The 24,702-nt window shown below is 57.3% G+C and overlaps 1 protein-coding gene across 26 annotated transcripts in view, besides 3 other annotated features; it reads right to left on the bottom strand.

The window, feature by feature from the left end:
* PRKCZ (protein kinase C zeta) overlaps window positions 1–24,702 on the bottom strand; it is a 136,892-nt gene that overhangs the window by 79,538 nt on the left and 32,652 nt on the right. For 4 of the 26 annotated variants that reach the window (XM_047425323.1, NM_001033582.3, XM_024448391.2 and 1 more), the window contains exon 1: window positions 963–1,142. The exons of 21 other annotated variants lie outside the window; for them this stretch is intronic. The gene's annotated coding sequence lies outside the window, so the exon portion shown is untranslated. Of the gene's footprint in view, window positions 1–962; window positions 1,143–7,302; window positions 7,512–24,702 lie in introns of those variants that run through there. One more of the 26 variants, NM_001350804.2, reaches the window with a different exon arrangement.
* Window positions 9,877–10,376: an enhancer, noted in NCBI's record as "H3K4me1 hESC enhancer chr1:2026921-2027420 (GRCh37/hg19 assembly coordinates)". NCBI's record gives its function as "activates a minimal SCP1, AML or CMV promoter by ChIP-STARR-seq in naive H9 embryonic stem cells {active_cell/tissue: H9 hESC(naive)}" and the evidence as "EXISTENCE:reporter gene assay evidence [ECO:0000049][PMID:30033119]".
* Window positions 10,377–10,878: an enhancer, noted in NCBI's record as "H3K4me1 hESC enhancer chr1:2026419-2026920 (GRCh37/hg19 assembly coordinates)". NCBI's record gives its function as "activates a minimal SCP1, AML or CMV promoter by ChIP-STARR-seq in naive H9 embryonic stem cells {active_cell/tissue: H9 hESC(naive)}" and the evidence as "EXISTENCE:reporter gene assay evidence [ECO:0000049][PMID:30033119]".
* Window positions 19,629–20,627: an enhancer, noted in NCBI's record as "H3K27ac-H3K4me1 hESC enhancer chr1:2016670-2017668 (GRCh37/hg19 assembly coordinates)". NCBI's record gives its function as "activates a minimal SCP1, AML or CMV promoter by ChIP-STARR-seq in naive H9 embryonic stem cells {active_cell/tissue: H9 hESC(naive)}" and the evidence as "EXISTENCE:reporter gene assay evidence [ECO:0000049][PMID:30033119]".

Here is a 24,702-nt window from a genome sequence, read left to right as displayed (position 1 = left end):
GATGACAACTATGTGTCTGAAAGTGACCTTCCCGGCATCACCTGGTCATCACCCACAGCAGCTCCCAGGGGCACGCAGCCACCCTGCTCCTCCTGACAGCTCTGTGACTACTTCACCCCAAATTCATTTTGCTTAGACATTTATTTGAAAAAAGACCTGGCCAGGAGTGGCAGCTCACGCCTGTAATCCCAGCACTTTGGGAGGCTGAGGTGGGTGGACCACTTGAGGTCAGGAGTTTGAGACCGGCCTGGCCAACATGGTGAAACCCCGTCTCTACTAAAAATACAAAAATTAGCTGCGCATGGTGGCAGGTGCCTGTAATCCCAGCTACTCGGGAGGCCGAGGCAAGAGAATCGCTTGAACCCGGGAGGCGAAGGTTGCAGTGAGCTGAGATCACGCCACTGCACTCCAGCCTGGGCAAAAGAGTGAGACTGTCTCAAAAAATAAATAAATAAGGCCTAACGTGACCCTTGGCCAAATGCCTAGTGCACTTACTTCTACTCCCGGATGGGCCCCGGGCACCCTCATGACCAAGCCCCAACCTCAGGGCCTTTCAAGAGTTGCGTCTACAAACACCCTGCAGGCCCTCACCCCCAGGCAGGGACAAACCAGCTGCTGGGGTCACCTGCTGGGCGGCAGTGCCGGTACACAGCGCAAGAGCTGTCTCCTGACGAGCAGGTTTGGAAGGAACAGCATGGCCGTGACGCAGTGACTTATGCCTTCAAAGCCACAGGGATGGGAAATTGCTTCATGGCACGACAGACGTGTGCTGTGATAAGGGGTTACTCGTTCTCAACAATGTTGGCTATGCAAGCGTCCTTGAGAAGTCTGAACTCACAGGGGAGCTGTCACAGATCAAGGTCAACAAGCCAGGGTGGCTGTCGGGGTGAGGCCGGCCGCGCCCTCCTGAATAAAAGGCCTGGGTGCTGTGTAATGAGGTGTGAAGAATAAAGGCTACTCACCCTGAAAACTGCTCTTCTCTCTCTGAAGACAGCACACACTCACCAGTCCCCGCTCACACCGCAACACCCGGCGAGGAAGCGCCCTCCAACTCTCCCTTTCGTGCTCGGCCCCGGGGGGCAGCAGTGAGCCCCGCAGGCCAGCCCGCTGCGTCCTGCCTGTCTGGCACCGAGCGATGTTCTGACCACCCCTCGCCAGGGCAGGCCCAGCCTCCCTCTCTCCTCCCAGTCCCCACCCACACTGGCTTCCCCTGGATGCTCCCTGCCTGGGCTCCACCCCAGGGCCTCATCGCGGCCATCCCCTGCCACCTGGGATTGTCCCCTCCCAGCCTCCCCTCTTAGGGCCCTTCCCACCATTCGCGCCACTGGATGCCTCTGGGGCTCCCCTGTCTGTCCCCTCACTCCTCTAGAACACATACCCCTCGCAGACCGATGCTGCTGTACTGGCCCCTGAACTGGACACAGAGGCCCTGAGGTTCAGGCCACCTTCTTCCCCTGCAGCTCTGGGGCAAGCACTGGCGTCTATCCAACCACCAGCCGTAACCTTCCCTCAGCCCGTGGGGCTAGGAGTCCAGGCTTCAGCCAAAGAAATCGCAACCAAGAGTTGGACCCCCTTTTTGATGTTCGACTGCTGGAGGTGTTTGAGACGACCCGCTCCCCTCCCGCCCACATCCCAGTGAGGTGATGAGGGCCCTGGGGAAAGTTCAAACCCTGCAAGCCTCAGCCCCTGCTCACCCCGCCTTGCCCCAGAGCCGCCACGGAAACCGAGACAGTCTCCTTACAGGCGCGCTCAAGACCTTTCTGGACCATCCTGGAAGACCCCCCTCCCCTGCTCTCCCCAGAAAACCTCATTATGTGGTGAGAAGCTCCCTCCCGTCTGCGTGCGGTGCTGTCATCTGTGTGGACACCTGAGCCAAATGTTGGGCAGGGGTCCATCCCATCTCTTCAGGGTGACCAGTGATTACAAGTGAACAGCTGGCGTCCAGGCCAGGAGGTGTTTAAACGGGGGCGCGTTGCCCTTCACCCCTCTCCTCCCACTGCCGCCTCAGGTGCAGCCCCCAGAGACCACAGCAGCTTGTGGAGAGGGGAGCGGCCAGCACTCACCCGCCGCCCCAGAGGCCCTTCCTTCCCATCTACTTTGCTATCCCTGTTTTCCCTTCTAGACAGTCCTCTCTCTCTTTCTCTGTTGCCCAGGCCAGAGTGCAGTGTTGCAATCATAGCCCTGCAGCCTCGACCTCCTGGGCTCAAGCGATCCTCCCTCGTAGCTAGGCCTACAGACACGCGCCACCGTGCCCAGCCTCACGCTTCTCTTCAAGGAAGCGGGGTTTGTGCTGATGAGGAAAAGTACATGACTGCATGACTGATGGAGCTTGGAGGGCTTCTTTGGGCTGGGGTGGGGGCAGCTTTCCCTGCGGAGCACCTGTGTCCCCCTCCCAGGCCTTCCCGAGGCACACGCGCCACTGGACGTGCCAGCTGCTGATGAACCATCCCCCACACTCTGTGTAACTGTGTCTTGAACTGATAAATAAATCAGTCTTGATAAATAAACCCTTACTACTGCGGCAGCTGTGTCGGCCGCTCTCCCGGGGAAGCCTTTCCCAGTCACTGGGGCTACGACTTGCTTTTTGGAGTCCTCTTAGAACAAGGCCGGGTGAGAACATCAGCTGCTGTTTGTCCACAGTGTAAGACCCACTGTGGAAACAGAGATATGAGTACAATTCTTGCCCCCCAAAAACCCCACAGTCTAGCCCGGCGTGGTGGCTCCCAGTACTTTGGGCGGGCGAAGTGGGAGAATCACTTGGGGCATTCCAGACCAGCCTGGGTAACAAATCAAGACCCCCAACTCTACTAAAAATAAAAAATTAGCCAAGCGTGGTGGTGCGCGCCTGAAGTCCCAGCTAGTTGGGAGGCTGAGGTGGGAGGCTTGCTTGAGCCCAGCTGCAGTGAGCCGTGATTGTACCACTGTACTCCAGCCTGGGCGACAGAGCAAGACCCTGTCTCTTGAGAGAGAGACAGACGGGGGGAGGGGCCAGAATATAAAAACAGTCAAGAGTCCAAAGGGTAAGGCCCCTCCAGCCCCTAGGTTTCTGGGCCCTGTGTCTCCTGGTTCTGAACCAATCCGTGACGCAGGAGAGTTGGGGGTTGGGGGAGGAGACTTGCATTTTTAGATCTCTTTCTACAAAGTTGAAATAAAGTGGAGAAAAAAATACACGAAGTTTCTAGAAATCTATCATTACTCATAACAAAGTAAAACAAACAAAAACGAGGGCCGGGCACGGTGGCTCACACCTGTAATCCTAGCACTTTGGGAGGCCAAGGCGGGCGGATCACGAGGTCAGGAGATCGAGACCATCCCGGCTAACACAGTGAAACCCCATCTCTACTAAAAATACAAAAAATTAGCGGGACGTGGTGGTGGGCGCCTGTACTCCCAGCTACTCGGGAGGCTGAGGCAGGAGAATGGTGTGAACTTGGGAGACGGGGCTTGCAGTGAGCCAAGATTGCACCACTGCACTCCAGCCTGGGCAGCACAGTGAGACTTCATCTCAAAAACAAAACAAAACAAAACAAACAAAAAAAAAAACGCAATAAAAAACGTGTACTAGGCTTCACAAAGCCCACACGAGACCCTGGAAATGAATGAATCAATAAATTACCCACCCATCCATCCTGGGCAGGACACAGGGCTGAACTGGTGTGGAGGTCGGGGCAGGGCCAGGCAGGCACCAGGGGCTGCCTACCCGCTCTGGCATGTGGCTGCTCCTGATCCTGGCCCCCAGTATGGAAGTCACCTTCTCCACCTGCTACTGGGTAGGAGCGGTGACCGGGGAAAGGAGACAGGGGATGGAAATTGGACAATTTTTCCAAAGCCCCACCTGCAATCCTTCCTCGTGAAAAGGCCCCAGGACCCCCAGAAGACACAGTCCTCTGTGACATTCCTGACTTGTCATTACCATGCCTGGCTCCTATCACATATCTGCTACATATCTGTTATAAATCCACCACGCCCGCTGTATCCATTATATACCCACCACGTATCTCTGCCGTGTATCCTTGCGTGTCTACTGTGCGTCTCGATCACGCATCCACTACGCCTCTGCCACACATCTTTGCTGTGGAGCACTGTGTCTACTCAGTACCTGCTGCTAAGTACCTGCTAAGTATCAGATGCGGTCCAGACCCAGGATGCACGGGCTCATGTCATCTTCGCAAACCCCCAGGGGAGGTGCTCTCCCACCCTCATTCTCCAGGAAGGGGAACTGAAGCCCAGGGCACTTGAAGACCTTTGCCCCGGGCCCTGCAGCCAGTGGCAGACACAGGCCGAACGCAGACTGGCTGATGGTCTCCGCAGCTGAGTATGAATGAATGAATGAATGAACGAAAGAAATGGAACAAACACAGAAACAAATGAGAGAACAAGTAAATCAGCAACAGGATGTCTCGCACCAGGGGTTGTCCCTGGAGTCTGAGGACAAAGTCAAGGGAAAGAAAGGAAGGAGGGCTGGGGGCCGGGGGACATCAGTGAGACCACCAGAGAAGGGGCGAGGAGGGGAGATGCCCGCTGGCCTCCCCCTACTGAGAGGACGTGGCCAGTGCATTTTGCTTGATTTCTTAAATCACATTTGAGATGCAAGACAGCTTTAGTAACCAAATACACAAAAGGAATGGTATCTCCTTGAAGTTAAACCTTTTAAAAAGTTTTAAAAAGGTATGGGAATAAAGTCTCCAGTTGTCAGAACTAAAATCAAGAGTTGGGAACTCACATGTCGTTTAGAGGGAAAACAAGATGGGGGACAGGGCCAGTCCCAGAGGAGACGCTCCCTTGGGATCCCTCTACAAAGTAGAATCATCTTAACGCCTTTTTTTTTTTTTTTTTTTAACAAAATAAATTGTCTTAGTCATTTTAGAAATGATAGAGAAAGTCAGACACAGGACGAAAGATGAACTGGCCAGGAGCCCCAGCCTGAAGGAGCGGGGACCACATCATATAGGGACAGCCTCCCTCACACCTCAGGGGGTGTGTTGGAAAGACTATGCCTCAATGATAGAATTAAAATGTCATCTTTCATCTCATGCAATTTCTAGCAAGACCAAAACTCCCTCTGAATAAGTCTCCTCCAACCCACGAGGCCTCTGCAGACCCCACCTGCTCAGGGCTGGGCCGGCCTCAAAAGTCCCACGGGAGCCACCACCTGGTGTGACCACTGCTGTTCACTGCACACCACCAGCCGTGCCTGTTCCTCCTGTGCCCTGTCCTGCACCTGCTCCCCGAGGCCCCGCTCGCACACCCCAGAAGGAACAGACGGGCTCCACTTTCTGTGCAAACTTGCAAGGTACCCATAAGTTCCTGTATCAGAGACATCATCGCCCATGGGGAGCTGGCCCCTGAGAGCCAGTGCCTGGAGGAGATCGTCCGGGGAGAGGACACAGCATTTAGATACAAAGGTAGGACCTTGGGAACAAAACCTGGACTCCAGAGATCAGGGAGGTGCCTGGAGGAAGGGGCAGCTGGGGCCTCTGGGCAGGGACAGACAGAGGTCTGGCTGGCAGCTTGTGCCATCCGCTTAGCCAGGCGGTGAAGACGCTGCCTCCAAGGAATTCTCGGTTACCACAGATGGTCACCCTGACGTGGGCGTTTTTCCACAAGGCAGATTTTGAAATAATTTTAGCAAAACAACCTCTACCACTGCAAAATAAAATTAAACCCAGGAAAGGCCAGCAGTATGCATTTGGGGGTGGTGGTGGGGTCGGAAGCAGGGCCGAGACTGAGCTGTCTCCCCACTGGCCCTCATAGGAATCCTAATGACAGTGTCAGCAAGACCTGGGGAATGGCTGGCATCTGACAGGGGCTGCAGGCTCTTACAGAAGATGAGAAATGGCTTCCGGTTTCAACAAGCTGGTTCAAAGCAGGGACCTCAGGTCACCCCTAACAGACGCAGCTCATCACTCTGAGGGTGCAGACCCTGGAGTCTGGTCTTTTCCCACAGAGGCATCAGTTTCTCACTTTCACCGATTTAAAAAACGTATTTCAAGGGTTTTCCATTCCTTGCGAGTGATCTGCTTTAGCACGACACGGACTAATGACCTGTTTAATTGGAACGGGAAATAGGTCACACCCAGGCCTCACTAACTCCTTAAAGAGTCATGAAATGTGCAACTAACATGGCCAGGGGCTCCCGAGGGGCCCTCACCCGACCCTCACCTCCACGCTGCCCCGTCCAGTGAGCTCCCCTCTGTCAATGCCTGGGCACCACCCACACCTACAGCCACAGCCTGTGCCGTGCCCCCGGCTGCCCACAGGGTCCTTGCTGCCCCCTCCCTCCGGGTACAGTCCTGTGAGCCTCATCTGGAAGTCACTCCTCCCCACGGCCTTCCCCACCCCGCCCCGCCCACTGCTTCTGAAGGGGCTCCTTCCTGGCAGCCGCCTGTGTCCATCACACCCTGGAACTGTCAATCATTGGTCTGCACAGTGAGCCCGCTTTGCTTTCACTGGTCCGCCCATTAGCAAGGGGCGGTTCCGGATTGTGCCTCTGGCAGCCGCCCAGCCTGGCATGGGATGAATGAATGAATGAATGACAGGGCTCCAGCTGGGAAAAGGTCTCAGACGTCACACTGAGGAGGATCCTAGCGCCAGCTGCATCGCACTGAAAATTCCCATTTATTCCCTAATTTCATATCCCAGCGACTTGTGAGAGGGGGTGTCCGTGGCCCTGGATGATGGTGATGAAGGAGTGCCGGGTCCCACACAGCTGTGTGGCTCCTTCTCCAACGAATATCCCACAGAAGTCGCAACACAGACAACAACGGAAGTCACAGCACAGACAACAACGGAAGTCACAGCACAGACAACGACGGAAGTCACAGCACAGACAACGGTGCATGCGATCAGGCCCAGAGCAGTAAAAACATCACTATTGGGCCCGGCGCGGTGGCTCACGCCTGTCATCCCAGCACTTTGGGAGGCTGAGGTGGGTGGATCACGAGGTCAGGAAATCAAGACCATCCTGGCTAACATGGTGAAACCCCATCTCCACTAAATATACAAAAAATTAGCCAACTGTGGTGGTGGGCGCCTGTAGTCCCAGCTACTTGGGAGGCTGAGGCAGGAGAATGGTGTGAACCCGAGAGGTGGAGCTCGCAGTGAGCCGAGATCACGCCACTGCACTCCAGCCTGGGCGACAGAGCGAGACTCTGTCTAAAAAAACAAAACAAAACAAAACAAAACAAAACAAAACGAAAACAAACAAAAAACCATCACTATTTGGTCCTGAGTGAGAACCAGAGGGCCATTGGAATGAGTTTTCTACAAGGCCGGGGGTGACGGCAGAGGGCACCCTCTCACCAGCCTCACATCATGGTCCAGGTTTCACTTTCACGGTGCAGATTCCAGAAGTAACTCAGCAGTCTCCAGGCCACTTCAGGACAGGCCTTAGAGAAGCCAGCAACTCGAAGAGCTGAAGCTGGGGCCGGGGCTGAAGCACAGCTGCCGAACGCCTCCCGGCCACAGCCACTACTTGTCCCTGCAGAAGCCACAGGCCAGCGGCACCGCTCCTGTAGAACATAATAAATTCCTCTTCAAAGGTTTTAGCCTGTAAATTGTTAAGTATAATGAATTCTGAGCTCCTCTCCAAAGAAGCAATGTATCCGTATGGTTACATCCCCATTCTTTGTTCTTCATTCTAAAGTTTAACTTCCTTGTACTTTACATATCCTTGCCCCTAGTTTCAGTAAACAACCCCTGCCTAGCCTCTATCACCTGCTCTGTCCTTAGTCACCCCTGGTCACCTGCTCTGACCTTAGTCATCCTTGTCACCTGCTCTGTTCTTAGTCATCCTGAGTCACCTGTTCTGTAACCATCCTTCCCGTCAAACTATTCACCCCGCCACTCCGGCTCGTACTGCTACTCTCTTTAAAATAGCCAATCGGAATTAGCTTAGACTGTGCAGTCCAACCCTAGCCAACAGGGGAACCACACAGCAGCAGGGACTGGCTGCGTTAGGATGAGACCTCCACCTCCCTCGTTCAGGTGTGCTCTCGCCATTGCTCCATCTGCAAGACGCACCCTTCTATAGAAGTAAAATTGCCTTGCTGAGAAAATTAAATTTATGTTCGAGTGCTATTTCTTTTGCAGCACCCAAAATTTATTTCTAACATCCCAAGTCCTGGGCCACTGTCCCCAGGAGCCTGGGCCCCCCTGGCACGGGCCCCACCAGGAGCACGGTGCGAGGCGTGCCTTCCGGGGTGCATGGGCTGGGGGTGCACACAACATGGGGCTCTACAGCTGGGTGCGAGGCGTGCCTTCCGGGGTGCATGGGCTGAGGGACGCACACAACACGGGGCTCCAGGAGAAGTGGTTTGAAAGGTTTGAAAGCCTACGCCAGTCACTGGCTCACCGGGTCCAAGGGCAGGTAAGGAATGCCTTCAGGTTGATCGCCGGGCCACCCAGCCCTCTCGCCAGTGACCCCTGCTTCTGAGAGCACAGGGGGGCACTGGCCACACCTCCTGAATTCTCCACCAGCCCAGCTCATTCTGGACTTTTCCAAAGACCCTGAGAGGGGCCCAGAAAGGTACCTGGGCCCCTGAACTCTTGGTCACACTCGGAATATGACGACGACCCGGGCCTTCCCAGGTGGCCATGTGGCCTGCACCGGACGACAGCAAGAGGGCAGAACCCAGAACCTCTGGGCATGGACACTGGTGTGGTCAGCCCTGGTCCTAATGAACTGCTTTGCTGCTCCCCAGCCATGCCAAGGGCCAGCTGTGGCCCCAAGACAACCTGGTATCTCCAGGCCTCTCTTCCTGTGCAGGCGATGAAGCCTCTGAAGAATGGAGTCGGAGTCTGTGGCCTGAGCGTCAGCTCCGTCCAGAACAAAGGGCTGCGTGGACCTTGCTCAACAGGGACTGGTGCCCGTGGGTGAGACACCACAGGGCCGTGTCCAGGCCTACGCTCAGTGACAAGCCCTGTTAGGACCCACCTGGAGTTTCCTAGGTCTCAGGTTCAGCCTCAAGGGGCCTCGTCCTGAGTCCTCCCCAGGGTGCCTCATGGCAACCCAGGCTGGAGATTTGTTGCAGAGCGAGGTCTGGATGAGCTGGCTGACCCTTCCCTTGGCTGCCCCTGACCTCGGCTAGAGGAAAACTCAGGAATCTGGGGAAGTTCCTGAGTTGAACGAGCAACCCAGACCCTGATTCGGACCGCTCAGCTCCACATTCACCGCCTTGCTGCAGAGCCCAGGGCCGCTCCGGACCATGGCAGTGATGACCACAGGAGCTGCCACCGTCCATGCCACGCCACGGGGAGACCCCTGGGCCACCCTGTCAGAACTAGGCCAACAGCATCTGCACTGCTCACAACCGCCTCTGAGCGCCCACCGAGGACACGCTTGGCGCTGTTTTTACACACTGCTGTGTTAGATCCTCACGAAGTCCGTACAACCGCGTTCCTGGCGTCTACACCACCAACTGGGGAAACTCTGCCCAGAGAAGGGAGGCACCTCACCCGTGCTCCCAGTGGGATGCCGACACCTGTGCTCCCAGCTGCCTGGCGGCTGGGCCTCTCTCGGTGGCAGCTACTCCAGATGCCAAACTGGCCTCTGATGCTGCCGTGACACTCAGGGACCGATCATGCTGCCGTGCGCCTCCCAGGCACACACTGCACAAAACCACCTGCCCGATCGGAGGGATGAAGTCACAAGGAAGCCACCACCACCCACCCAGAGGCCAGACGCAGGGAGGACCAGCCCCGGGCCAGTCTTGGGGCAGCCGAGGTCCCCATCTGCTTGACTGCCTTCCTAGGCAGCTGCCTGCTCCCTGGGACTATGCCTGCTCCTGCAGGAGACCCTGCCTGGCTGCCCTGATCCCAGACAGGCCCGGCCCCCACACCCATTTACTCCGCAGAGTGAGGGGCCAGCCCTGCCCTGGCCCCTGGCACAGCAGAGTCAAACAGGTGAGGGGAGGGGAAAGGAGGAGAGGGGAAGGGAGGGGAGAGGAGGGGAGAGGAGGGGAGGGGAAAGGAGGGGAGGGGAAAGGAAAAGAAGGGAGGGGAAGGGAGGGGAAAAGAGGAGAAGGGAGGGGAAGGGACAGGAGGGGAAGGGAGGAGAGGGGAGCAGAGGGCAGAGGAGGGAAGAGGAGGGGAGCGGAAAGGAGGGGAGAGGAGGGGAGCGGAAAGGTGGGGAGGGAAAAGGAGGGGAGGGGAGGGGAGCTGTGGCGAGTGGAGGCTGGACAAGCACACGGACGTGAGCCCATGCCAGGCTGCGGGAGACAGGGGCAGGGCATGACTTTGGGCACAGCCGGCCGGCACCACCCATGCAGGACGCACGCATCTGACGCAAAGCGCGAATCCTCCCCCTCTTCTCTGAACAACTGACAGGGACTTGAAAAGGCATCCACGGGAGGAGGGTCTGGCTCCCAGCTACCTCTTCAGGGGGTCCCTCACTCCCTGGGCCCTCGGTGGGCACCAGCGACTCAACCACTGGGCACCGGTTGTGGCCTCCTCCACCAATGCTCAGCTCTCACGTGTGCCGTGCCCACCTCAAAGGCAGAGGACAGCATGGGGCTCTGCCCGCCACTGCCCAGCCACCTCCAAAACCATGGTGAGCTCAGGACGCACACAAGGGCCCCTGCCAGGAGGGCAGGCCCTCCCCTACAGAGGGAACCTCAGGGAAACCAGCCAGGCCAACGCAGACCTAGAAGGGTCTGGAAAGGAGACAACCAGACTCCACCCTGGGTACCAGAAGCACAGGTGCCCCAGGGAGACGGCATATCTGGGACCCAGTGGTGATGTTGCTTGGACTCCCAGGGGACCAGCAAACCCAGCTGCCCAAACCACCACCCTGCTACGGGGCCTGGGGTGTGGCGGAGCAGCACATGGGGGGCTGGGGTGACAGTCAGTGTCTGCATCACCCACAGGCATCACTCGGGCACCAGTGTCCGTGTCATGCCGGCGGGGGCAGGGAGAGAACTGGCATGGAGCAGGGAACCCAGGGCAGGGCTTTTTATAGGCAGGAGAGAGAGGGCCAAAACCAGGCTCTAAGAGAAGTGACTCTGCAGCTCCAGAAATGAATCCAAGGCCAAAAGAGCCAGCAGAGAAGCCAGACGGTAAGGGCCACAGCAGACGCCTCAGAACGGGCAGCGCCCAAGGTTCAACGAGCCGGGCACAGCGGGCGCCTCAGAACGGGCAGCGCCCAAGGTTCAACGAGCCGGGCACAGCGGGCGCCTCAGAACGGGCAGCGCCCAAGGTTCAACGAGCCGGGCACAGCGGGCGCCTCAGAACGGGCAGCGCCCAAGGTTCATCGAGCCGGGCACAGCGGGCGCCTCAGAACGGGCAGCGCCCAAGGTTCATCGAGCCGGGCACAGAGGGCGCCTCAGAACGGGCAGCGCCCAAGGTTCAACGAGCCGGGCACAGAGGGCGCCTCAGAACGGGCAGCGCCCAAGGTTCAACGAGCCGGGCACAGCGGGTGCCTCAGAACGGGCAGCGCCCAAGGTTCAACGAGCCGGGCACAGCGGGCGCCTCAGAATGGGCAGTGCCCAAGGTTCAACGAGCCGGGGCCACTGCCTCCGCCACTGCCCACGGGCACCACACAGCATCCCAGGCACCATCATGGTAGGAGAAGAGTTCAGGCCGGGAGGCCGAGGGTACCCTCGGGTCACCAGGCTTGGCACAGCAGGACTGGAACCACGTCCCTTCCAGCTCCCGTCCAAGACAGGTGGAAGTGGGGGGGCTGCTCCCGGGACGGGGGAGGGATGGCGACGGAGGGCTCTGAGGTTGTGCATCAGGCAGAAGGTTCTAGAGACAAGCAGGCTCCCAAGGGATGTGGCTGCGCTAGGACAGGACAAACAGGAGGGTCACCCAAAGTGGGCTGGCAGGTGCTGTGGACGTGCCGCAGGGAGCAGACACACGTGTCAGGCAGCACTTCCTCCACCCGGGCCTGGAGCTGCTGGCCTGGCTCCCTCTGCCCTGGCCCCACACTCAGCCCTTAGTGCCCGGCCAAGGGCTGCAACGCTGACGGCCGCGGACCTCCACGTCGACGCGGGGATCCTCGGCTCGTCCCGTGCCCGCCAAGGCAGGCTGTGCCCGATGCAGCTCCAAGCACAGGCGGGGCAGGCCGCAGGGAGGAGGCACCGTACACAGCACGTCCTCTGTGAGGCCCTGGGGTTCCTCTGGGCCCTTCCAAGGGCCTCCCCCATCTCAGCCCACCACGTTTGGGGGCAGAGGCGGGGCTGAAGTCCCAACTTAGAGGGTACAGGTCCCAGCGGCCCCGCACCAACAGCCACCCGGACACCCTCACCTTTGAGGAGGGCACCAGCCACTGCAGCGAGCAGTGACTGTCACCAGGACCTTTTCCAGGGAGACTGGCTGAGCAGCTTCCAGTCCCACATCAAGGAGACCCCCACCCTGCCTTTCGCCTTCCAGAGAAGTGGACACTGGGGGCTGGACCAGGCCAGAGCCAAGTCACAGCGTCCCAGAGTCCCCGCACGAAGCAGGGTCAGGCAGAAAAAGGCAAGCACCCCACTCCACACCCCGGCGGTCTGACCTGCCCCAGGGCGGCCAGAGGACACTAGCCGCCCGCCAAGAGCAAGGCTGGGGCCAGGGGGTGAGGGGTGGTAAACAGGGCGCAGGAAGCAGCGAGGCCAGCGGGCCCACACTCCACACCTGACCACACCATGCACCTGGTGTCCACCAGGAGGAGGTGCTTTTCAGGGCAGCAGCTCTGCCGGTGGGGCCCTCGCCATCTGCCTCCTCTCCCGCCAGGTCTCTCAGGGCTAAAGCTGCAGCTCTGTCCTCACAAGCATGAACTTTTCTCTTGAGTTCCTGTTGAAAACCACCCATCACATTGGCATCTCTGTGCTACTGGGCACCGCGGCCTCGTGTGGGTGTAACTGGGGGGTGAGGTGGCACCCGGTCCCCACACCTGGAAGCTGACATCGTGGAGGCAACTGAGGCAGGGCCCGAGGCCTGGGGCCCTCTATGCTGAAGGCAAGAGATGTGTCCGCTGGGACTGGAATTCAGGGTCACCCCCTAGCTGGGCCCACTGTGTGGTGATCTGAGGCCCTCAGTGTCCTCCAGCCCTGCAGGGGTCCACCTGGCCCCTCCTCCCGAGCCCTGTCCCAAGGGCCCTCCCTGCTCACAGTGAAGACCAGGGCCTCCAGCTGCCTCGGATACACCATCCTCTAATGCTTAAAAATAATTAAATTTAAAAGCTCCCTTTGTACAAAAACAGGCCAGCTAAAATCCATGAATAAATTATGTGTGTTCTGTTCACTTCCACGTACAACGTCTTCAAGCTCAATGAATTTATACCTTAAACAAACCCACGGAGCTTCAAGTCCACCTGGCCCCACTGCTCCTTTTAAAATCTAAAAGCTAAGAAAACGAGGGTGGTTTTCCTTTGCCTGAGGCCTATCCTTGCCAGGGCCCACAGGTTGCTCTGAAAAAGGGGGAGGGCGCGGCCGAGTCCCGGGCATTTCAGAGCAGGGGTAGAGCTGCGCACTTTGTCCCAGCCAGGGTGTCCCCGCCCTCTCTGGGCACCCTGAGGCGGGAACGTCGGACTCCGTCCTGCTGAGCTGGGGCTTCTCTTGGGCAGGGTTTCCCTACAAAGCAGCAGGGGCTGCCCTCCTCTTCACACAGAGGGGGCAGGGTTCCCGGCCTCCTCCTCTCATCAAGGATTCGCCTCCCGTAGGAAAACAGGGGGAGGGCGGCGGGGGTGAGGGGACAAAGCCCTGGGAAGGGGCTGGATGGACGGGGCCGGAGCCAAGGGGGCGGCTGGCATGGCCGGAGTATCTAGGGGAGAAGCGCGATGCCTGCCGGTCCCTCCTGTCTCACTCTGCGGCCGCACAGGTGGCAGCAAGGACAGATTCGTCCACCGGCTCCTGGGGACACGGCCATTCTTGCAAGTACCAAGCACTGTCTGGCACGACGCTTTCCATTCTACATGAGTCTTCTCCTTAAATAATTTTTATAAAGATTTTATAAAGATTTGGAAGATACCAAAGAAAGTAAAAGAAAAAGAAACAATTGCCCACAACTCCGTGGCCCCAACACAGGACGCGCATCTGTCCTCCCGCCTGGGGTCAGGGCCCTCGGACGCCCCCTGCTGCTCCCACCTGGTAATCGGTGGGTCCGCATGGAACAAGTGGGATCAGTTCACACGGTGCGTGCAGGTCAACCACCCCACAGGACAACGCAACCACAGAAACGAGGAACTCAATTACAAAACGGGCAAAGGACCTGTGCAGACGTTTCTCCAAAGCCGACACACAAGCGGCCACAGGCGTGAGAGGCTCAACATCACCAACCACCGGGAGAGGCAAACTAGACCCACACTGGGCACTGCCTCGCCCCAAGAGGACGGCCAGGAACAGAAAGTCGGGAGTGTCAGCGAGGACGGCGAGACATCGTAACTCCTGTGTGCTGCAGGTGGGACTGCGGAGGTTCTGTTGTGCAAGATGAAATTCTGGAGATTGGCTGTGCAGCATGAATTTACTTTACTGAACTACACACTTAGAAATGGTTAAAATGGTGAATTTTATGTTATAGGTATTTTACCACAATTAAAAAACAAACAGGCCAGGCGCGGTGGCTCACTTCTATAATCCCAGCACTTTGGGAGGCCAAGACGGGCAGATCACCTGAGGTCAGGAGTTCGAGAGCAGCCTGGCCAACGTGGTAAAACCCCAACCCGTCTCTACTAAAAATACAAAAATTAGCCGGGCATGGTGGCAAGCGCCTGTAATCCCAGCTACTTGGGAAGCTGAGGCAGGAGCACTGCTTGAACCCAGGAGGCGGAGGTCGCAGTGAACCGAGATTGCACCACTGCAGTCCAGCCTGGGCAACAAGAGTGAGACTCCAGCTCAAAAAAACAAACAAGAACTACAGTGGGCCACAGCTCTCTGACCTCTTTATTAAAGCACATCTATATGATGGTACATGTGGCAGTTTGAAAAGATGATATTTAAGACGTGTGTTCAATAATCTGCTTAGATCATAATGTCAAGAAAACTGAGGTCCTACAAATTCCACAGGGAGAGCTAAATTAATATGGATAAACCATTTGTTTGGAAAAAAGTCTGAAAATAAGTAAACCAAATGTTAAAACCAAAAACCCACAACCAGGATCCATGGCCTCCCAGATTGTGGGGTCCCCCCTGCACTGGCTCTCTCCGAGACGCCCCCGGCTGCCGCTCCCAGGGCGCCCACGCCAGGTGCCATGAGCAAAACCACACACGCAGCGCAGGAGGGGCACGCGGCTGTGGGAGGACGAGGGCTTCATTCCTACATGTGCACGGGGCCTCCTTGGAGAAGCACTGGTGTTTCTTCAAAACCAGCCCAGGGTGGGCTCTGACCCCAGGGACCGGGGCAGACTTTAGGGGCCTTAAGCTCCTGGAAGGAGCAGCTGAGGGTGAGGGGGCTGGGGGGCATCCCCTCAGTGGTGAGACGGCCAGCACCATCCTGTGGGGACACAGGGCACGGGCCCTGGCAGTGCTGAGCCCACGCCCCTCGGTCAGCAGGGCCCTCTGAACAGGTGCTCCCTGACGGCTACAAAACCATGGGTGCACGGGCCCCTTCTGCGGGAGGGCTGGGTGCAGCTGACTACAAGGACTGCAGACCGGCCAGGCCATGGGAACCCCTTGCCAAGGTGCAGCCCCCAGGGCCTCTGCATGAGTGCAACTGAATCCCCTCGGAATCCAAGCTGCCGTCCTGACCCCCAGGAGCTCAGAACATGCCCTTATTTACACATAGGACACTGCAGATGTAATCAGTTAAGTGAGTGAGGTCATTACAGCAGACTTAGATCCAAAACAACTGCTGTTCTCATAACAGAGGGTAACGTGGACACGGCCGCACGGGGAGGAAGGGCCCGGGTGAAGAAGAGACGGCTCCACCAGCCAAGGGGACAGGCCTGGCCCGGGCTCCTCACGGCCTCCGGGAACCAGCCCTGCCGAAACCCAGCTCTCAGACGCTGGTCTCCAGACAGAGAATAAAGCTTTTTGTTTGGATTTTTTTTAATGGGATCTCGCTATGTTGCCCTGGCTACATTCAAACTCCTGCACTCAAGAGGTCCTCCCACCGCAGCCTCCGGAGTAGCTGGGATCACCACACAAGCTGAGAGAGAATTGAGTTCTGCCGTGTGAGCCGCCATCTGTGGTACGTTGCTACAGCGGCCCCAGCACTGTGACCTGAGTGTTTACGTCCCACCGAATTCACACGCTGAAATCCTCACCCACAGGCGACGGTGTCAGGAGGCCTTTGAGAGGTGGTAAGGTTGTGGCCTTCCGGAATGGGATTAATAGTGCTTTTCAAAGGGACCCCAGAGTGTTTGTTCGTCCCCTTTATCACGTGAAGAAGACTCTGAGAAGGCTCTGGCTGTGAACCAGTCCTTACCAGGCACCAAATCTGCTGGTACCTTGCCTGGACTTCCCCGCCTTCAGCATCTCGAGCAATCAGGGTCCTTGTTTACAGGCCACCCCTCGTGGTGCCTCCTCACAGAGGCTGAAGCAAATGAACGCAGACCCCGACGGACCAGAGACGGCCCTGCCTCCTGGAAGTCTCTGTCCCCAACCCCGACCCTCAAGTCTTCCCAGCTCTGAGTATCCTCATGCTCACACCGTCACCCCCACGTTTCTACCCATGCAGGCCCCAGAAACAGAGACCTCTGGGTCCTTCCTCATGGCGTCTGCCATCGCCCGGCCGAACTCTGCCCAGGGACCTCGCGAACAGGGAAATGAGTTCTAAAACCAGAGCTGACCCCGGCTAAGGAAAACACTCTACTGCAGTAAGCTCCACCATTTTAAAAAGAAACGATGAGCCCGGAACAGAACTGGCACCATTGTTACTGCTATTATTAGCTGATGACAGGGAGGGATTCTAACCTCGTATCACTAGTATTTTCTATAAAAACTAATAGTATAGAAGACCAGAATGAAATTAAAAACGATATGCTCTCGGAAAACAAAACAAAATAAAACAAAAGTGACAGGCTCACCAGGGAGTACAAGCAAGAGCAATTTGAGCTTTTCTGACATCCTGCCCTATGGGTCAAGTTTTCTGTAGTGAACATGTGTTGCTTTCACAACCAGAAACACTGATTTGTGTTTTTTTCAGATGGGGTCTTGCTATGTTGCGCTGAGCCCCAGCTGGAGTCTGTGAGTGAAGAGACGCCGCCGCCTGGGAGGGGCCTCCAGGCAGCTGAGCTGTGCACACATGACCTGGGTTTGGTCAGGCTCCGAAGCTCCCACAGCCTGACCTAGAAAGGAGAGGTGACATTCCACACAGGATGATGGTGTCTACGGGAAGACTCTGCTGGGCTCATCCTGGAGCCCGGGCTCTGGGACCTCCGGAAGCCGCTCTGGGCGTGGGATGGAGAGGCTGAGTCACGCGGCAATCACTCGCCACAGCCGTCTTCACTCAAGGACTCGAGGACGTTCAGCAAATGTCCAGGGAGCCCTGCTGGGTCCCAGGCACCATTTTCAGCCCTAAGGATGCAACCAGGGCCAAAGCTGAGGGATTTGGTTCCCAGGAAGCCCACGATGGAAAGGGGCAGCCTCCGAGCTGAGACTGCAGGGGAGGAACAGGGAGGCGGAGGGAGGGGCGTGCAGACCCCATGGGGCGCACCATCCAGGCAAGGGGGAGGGAGCAGTGAGGAGGACGAGGGACAGACGGGGGCAGAGCTGTGCCTCTTCTCAGGTGTGCTGGGCGTTATCCAGATGAGGGAGGCGGAGTCTGGGCCAGGTAGGTGAGGACACTGCTGAGTGGCCTCCTTAAAGTTACACGAGTGGGAAACTGTAAAACCAAAACCCCAACTCAGGCAGCATCCGAGCCCGAGGCCCCCACCCACACAGCAGAGAAAGCCGCTATTCAGGATGGGCTCTGCCGCCATCAAAACAAAGACCGTCTTCACTGAGTGTCCAGGCGGCCAGCACGCGCCAGGCACCAGCAGCCTGTCCCTCACGCCGTCCCAGCGTTCCCAGCCTCGAAGCCAGGCCTCCCCGGGTGCAGGCAGTGACCTGCCTGGCTCCCGAGGGCCTGGATGCTGCCCCCGGTGCCCGGACAGGCCAGACGCTGGTCCTCCTCAGGGGCCTCCGGGGACTCCTTTCCAGAGTCGGGCATTTTCTGTTAGTGGGTACCCGGTTAGGGGAGCAGGAAGGTTTTAACCTCCCCCGCCACCCCCACCAAAAGGTCACTTCAGAGCAAAACCACCTGTTATTCATTTACTCTCTTCACGTCTTTCTGCTGGCATCGCACACATATTACTCGGGTATCCTGCTATACTCCTCTCGGTAATCACATCCAGGTGATGGGATACAACCCAATTAATGCAAAAATAAGAGCATCATTAAAAACCCTTGGGAGCGAAGGTTGTAGGAGAGACACAGAAGCCCCAGGGTTCGCCTGGCACCTCGGGATGCCATCCACAGGTGCTGGTGCAGCTCTCTGCGTGGTGGGGCTGCACTGCCAGCTGTTGCCACGGTGAGCCGTGGCGCCTCACCACCCAAAGGTAAGTAAAATAAACAAGAATGGGGGCCGGGCGCAACAGCTCACACCTATAATCTCAGCACTTTGGGAGGCCGAGGTGGGTGGATCCCTTGAGGTCAGGAGTTCGAGACCAGCCTGGCCAACATGGTGACACCCCGTCTCTACTAAAAACACAAAAATTAGCTGGGTGTGGTGGTGGGTGCCTGTAATCCCAGCTACTCAGGAGGCTGAGGTGCGAGAATCAATTGAACCCGGGAGGCAGTGGTTACAGTGAGCTGAGATCGCGCCACTGCACTCCAGCCTGGGTGACAGAGCAAGATTCTGTCTCAAAAAAAATAAATAAAAGAATGGGGAAATACACTAAAATCAAATGCAAACAGAAACAAATAAAGCCAACTGACCATCATACTGACAGCATAACCCCACGAAAGACAACAAATGAATAAACGAATCCAAGTTAACTTCTGGAAACTGCTCTCCAAGGGCATGGGCATGGCAGGAGGCATTCTGAGGACAAAAGAATGCTGAGAAGCCCTGGCCTGGCTGGGTCTGCTGCCCTGGTGACGATGCCGCGGCTCTGAAGCTGTGTCATCCGCATTCGAAGGCAGAGCACACGAGCGAACAGGCTCACGCTGTGCAGATGGAGACCCCACTCAGAAGTGGAGAAGAGAAGAGCCTGCGGCACTGGGAGCTGCCGCGGGAACTGCACATCGAATCCCCATGCAGCCCCTGGCCCACCGCCCACCGGGCACAGCCTCACGGCCCCCAGGAGCAGCAGGCAGGTTAGTTTCTGAAGTCCACCCTCCTCCGAAGGAAGCCAAGTTCCGTGGAGAAACGGCCAGGTCCAGCCTGGAGCAGAAAGGGCCGAGGGGATGCCAGAGCCTGCTGCCCGGATGCGAGCAACACACAAAACCTGATGGAAAAGCGGGTAGCATGGGGGGAGCCGCTCGCCAAGGCCCCTGCCAGCCAAACCTGGGAGGACCAGAGCCTCAAGACGAACAATGACAGAAATCGATGATTCCAGGCCAGGTGCGGAGGCTCACATCTGTAATTCCAGCACTTAGGGAGGCTGAGGCCTGGAGGCTCACACCTGTAATCCCAGCACTTAGGGAGGCTGAGGCAAGAGGATCGCTTGAGGCCAGGAGTTCAAGATCAGCCTGGGCAAAATGGAGAAACCCTGTCTCTATCAAAACACAAAAATTAGCTGGGCGTGGTGGCAGGAGCCTGTAGTCCCAGCTACTTGGGAGGCTGAGGTGGGAGAATCACTTAAACCTGGGAGGCAGAGGTTGCAGTGAGCCAAGATTGCACCACTGCATTCCAGCCTGGGCGACAGAGCAAGACTCCGTCTCAATTTAAAAAAAAAAAAAAAAAAAGGATGATAATAAACCCAGTTTTTAGAAAATCCTTGAGTTCACATTAGGATCAAGATTCCTTTCAACAGGGAGGGGAGAAGACACAGCTCTTACTCCTGGGATGATGCCAACCCAGACAGGAGAAGGGAGCGAGAGAAAGAGAGAAGTGCCTCTCTGCATCAACACAGTAAGACCGGGGCCTCCCAAACCCACCCATGAGTGCAGACCTGCCTGTGAGAGGGGAGCCGGGCCCGGGCCCCCCATATCCTCAGCCCCTCCAGCACGGTGCCTCACGGGCTCTGAGAACAGGGCCCCCCGACGTCCTCAGCCCCTCCAGCACGGTGCCTCACGGGCTCTGAGAACAGGGCCCCCCGACGTCCTCAGCCCCTCCAGCACGGTGCCTCACGGGCTCTGAGAACAGGGCCCCCCGACGTCCTCAGCCCCTCCAGCACGGTGCCTCACGGGCTCTGAGAACAGGGCCCCCCATATCCTCAGCCCCTCCAGCGTGGCGCTGCATGGGCTCTGAGCAGGCATCTTCAGAGGACAAGAGTTGTGAAAAACGCAACCAACAAATGTGAGGTTTGGCAAAAAGCACCGTGCGCAGCAACCAGTCTGGGTTCTGGCCCTAGCCCCGCCAGGAGTAAAGTCAAGCCTGGTATCTGGCGGGCTGCGGACCCAGGTGAGCAGTAAGATGGTCAACAGGCTGGAGGCGCATTCTGAAGATCCGGTAACACAGGGCACAAAGCTGCTGGCTCGGGGCCAGCTCCTGCTCCGGGACCTTCTGTGTGCTACCAGCTTCACGCCCACGCCAGGTAGGGCGGATGGTACAACGTGTCTCGGAAAAGTTGCTGAAGTTTCAGAGAGCCGTACAGTCTACGTCTTTGTCTTCCCTTTAAATAAATACCCACTCAGCTGCCTCTCTACTCCTCACCCAGCTGACAGAGGAATCGCCCCCTACCCGCAGAGCCACAGGGAGGGCAGGGACACAGCACCTTGTCGGTCATGTTGGGGTGGGAGCAGCCTGTCTGGCTTCTGTGCCTGACCTGCATCTTTTTTTTTTTTCTTTTTTTAAGAGGGTCTCACTCTGTCACCCAGGCTGGAGTGAAGTGGCACAATCTCAGCTCACTGCAGCCTCGAACTCCTGGGCTCAGGCGATCCTCCCACCTCAGCCTCCCCGAGGAGCTGGAACGACAGGTGTGCACCACTACACCAGGCTAATTTTTACATTTTTTTGTAGAGATGGGGTTTTGCCATGTTGCCCAGGCTGGTCTTGAAAACTCCTGAGCTCAGGCGATCCACCTGGCTAGGCCTCCCGAAGTGCTGGGATGACAGGCGTGAGCCACTGCGCCCAGCTGACCCCACATCTGACCTCCACTTGCTGACAAGGTGCTGCCACACAGACCCGATGCTGGGCAGGCAGGTGGCTGGCACTGACAGCTGGTGGGTGCAGAACGCCTCCATGCCCCACTCACCCCCATCCACAGTCCAGGCAGAGACCAGGGCAGGGTGAGCACACAGGACCGCAGGCGGGTGGGCCGGACGCAGGTACGCCCATCTGTGAGCCGGCCGGCCGCGCATGTGTTCTGCCATATGGTGAAGCGGCGGGAACTGGCTGAGGCCAGGGAGGTCTGGGGATGCCTGGGGGTCCCAGAGACCAGGCAGGGGAGCCGCGAGTGCAAGCTATGACCATAATCCGAAGCGGACAGCACCTGCCTTCTTCACACTCGCCCTCATGAGCGTGGGGGGAATTTTCCACTGCGCTTAGGAAGACCTGCAGAACCCAGTGGAGCAATATTTCCTAACAGCCAATATGCGATGTTTTTTGTTGTTGCTGTTTGAGACAGAGTTTCGCTCTCTCGCCCAGGCTGGAGTGCAGTGGTGCAATCTTGGCTCACCGCAACCTCCGCCTCCCAGGTCCAAGTGATTCTCGTGCCTCAGCCTCCCGAGTAGCTAGGATTAATTACAGGCATCCGCCACCATGCATGCCCGGCTAATTTTTGTATTTTTAGTAGAGATGGGGTTTCATCACATTGGCCAGGCTGGTCTCGAACTCCTGACCTCAAGTGATCTGCCCGCTTCGGTCTCCCAAAGTGCTGGGACTACAGGCGTGAGCCACCGCGCCCGGCCAACATACGATTTTTAAAACACACGCACGCGTAAGAAACCTATTCGAGCGCAAAAGAGACCAGCGGATTTTTAAGGTAACTGCAGGAAAGTGACACCAATACAGTTTCAGATTCCATGTTTCAACTGACATGTAAGAAATGACCACGTGCCGAGTTTCAGAGAAATATCAAAGAAGAATACCCACGTTTACCAGAGGAAAAGCTGTTAAAACGCCCCAAGCCTCCTGACACACTGGAATTCACCCCAAGCCTCCTGACACACTGGAATTCACCCCAAGCCTCCTCACACACTGGATTTCCTCACAATCTTAACCCAACACTGCAGCAGCCTGAACGCAGAGGCAGGTGTGATGGCTCAACCGTGTTCTGCTCAACCAGATGCAAAAATGTTGCCACTCTCTTGCCGAATATTTTGTTTGGGAAAATAGTCACTTTTCATTAAAATGTTAACAGCCGATGGGTTATTTTAGAATTAATCTAATTAATCATACATTAATTAGAGTTAATGAGGAATAAATATTCCTCGTTCTAAATTTTCAGTACAGTTCACACTGGCAGCTACAGCCCACGTACCCAAAAGCTCTTTGAGGACCACAGTAATTTTCATGAATGTGGTGGGGGTCCTGAGACCACTGGCTGAGCCCGGAGCTGGAATCAGAGACTGGTGAGGAGGGAACAGAGGCTGCAGGGAGGGACAGGCAGTGAGTAATTCCGTCCAGACATGGACGCAGCCACCTCCCCTCGAAGCGACCCCTCCTCCCGTAAAATCCCTGTACCTCCAGGGGCTCAGAGCATGCTCCACCCAGTGAACCGAACACTCTGGGGCCAGCAACAGGGGAAACGCTAACGATACGTGTTTGAAAATTTGGACCAAGGTATTTAAAACTCACTGTACAGCCGCCCTAAATGTAACTTCCTGTTCAGACCTATTAGGACATGAGGAGAGGGAGGACGGGGGCACCCAAGGTGTGGACACCTGTCCTTCACCTGTGCCCGAGGTGGCTTGCTCCCTCATGCCGCCCCTCCACCCTCTCGCGCCCTCACTGCCACCCTCTCCACCCTCTCCCTTGCACCCTCACACCACCCCTCCACCCTCTCCCTCACGCCCTTGGCCGCCCCTCCACCCTCTCCCTGCTACTACATCCGGAGTGCCCCTGTGAAGGAGGACAGGTGTCCTCAAAGCCACCCCCGGACGCTCAGGCAAAAAAACAAATGGAACCAGGTCTCCTGACATCCCATCTCCAGGGGAGGGTTGGGCGGGGGGACCAACTCTCAGAAGCCGACCGTGTACGCCCTTGCCCAACTCCACCTTCACTGAACCCCTCCACTTCGGCAGCCTGAAATCGGCCGTGGTGGGAGCATTTACACCAGGGAAATCGACTGAGTGACAAATCCCACCATCGTTCCTTCCTCACAGAGCATTTACCAGCACGGCACTGCCCACATCACAAAACCGGTCGCTAGGAACGCGGACGTGATCTTACACTCACAGAATGAAATTACAGTCTCCATGCAAACTCAATTCTCTCTGCTGGCCAAGATAAATAAATAAACACAAACTACCAGACTTCACTCTGTCTACGGCAGCCGGGTAGCCGGCAACTTGAAAGAGGTGATTTGCCAAGTCCATCTTGAACAGCCGCTCTGGCAGCCCCCAGCTCCTGCACGTGTGATCGTGCCACGGAGCCTCCCTCTTGCCAAATACACAGCCCTGGAGCAGGGAAAAGGCGCACACAACAGGCGGGACAGAGCGGGCGACGCTGCCAAGGGCTGCAAAGAACCCGTCTGACGCGTCCAGCACCCCTGACCACGTCCGCCCTCGGATGGCCGTGTGGAAAGACACTTAGGCGCCTTCTTGGCACGACTGTGTGGTGTCCTATTCGGAGTCGATCGGAACCACGGCAGCCCGGATCAAGCCTGCTTTAATATGAACAAATTATGCAATGCAAGAGAACTGAACACATTTCCGAAAAAAGAGGACTGCCCACCCAGCAGGGGACAAATGGGCAAGAGGGGCCAGCGATGGTGCCGCTCTCTGCCCATTTCTGCCTTTGTCACCTCTCATCAAACCAACTGAGGAAGTCAGTGCAGCACAGAGGGCAGCAGGAAGGGGATGCTGGGGGGCGGGGCGGCAGTGGTGGGGTGTGGGGGGCGTGCCTGAGCTTGGTGCCAGGTGATGCAGGGACCTGCCGAGTCCCACACGAGCCCCATGCAGAGCCTGGGCTGCTGACCCTACGGCACTGCCAACTCAGCTGGGAGAAGAGTATGCGGGGTCAGTCCCCCAACCGCAGCCCCGACATCACCACGCCACCAAGTCCGGGCACAGTGTGGTGACTTCTCCCCTCCCCGCCTCGACCCAGCACCACCTTGGCATGATGCTGGAGCTCCGGCTGCAGTACCAATCACCTCCCAGGGCCCACACCCCACACCGGGGTCTGCAGCCATGGGACGTCCTGGCCACACAGGCCCCTTCTGGGGGTCCATGCCCACAGCCCAGACTCGCCCGAGACCCACCTCTGGGCCTGGGACCTGCTTCCCCCTGCTCCCTGCAGCCTGCCCCCTCCTGCCAGAGACCCGTCAGCACCCACCCCCAACCCACCCAGTGTCTGGCCTCATCGCTGCCCCAACAGCCAGCCTGCAGGGGCCCCAGTGCCCAAAGCTGGAACAATCTGAGCAATAAGTAAGCGACACGGTATCCGATTCTAACCCAAGTATGAAATTGACACCTGCGAGTCCACATGAACAGAAAGGAATAATTAAATAACCAATGGGAGAACAGACGTACAAGTCCCGTG

Source organism: Homo sapiens, chromosome 1 (genome assembly GCF_000001405.40).
Source record: "Homo sapiens chromosome 1, GRCh38.p14 Primary Assembly".
Lineage (NCBI taxonomy): Eukaryota > Metazoa > Chordata > Mammalia > Primates > Hominidae > Homo > Homo sapiens.
This window is presented reverse-complemented; position numbering and strand designations above follow the sequence as displayed.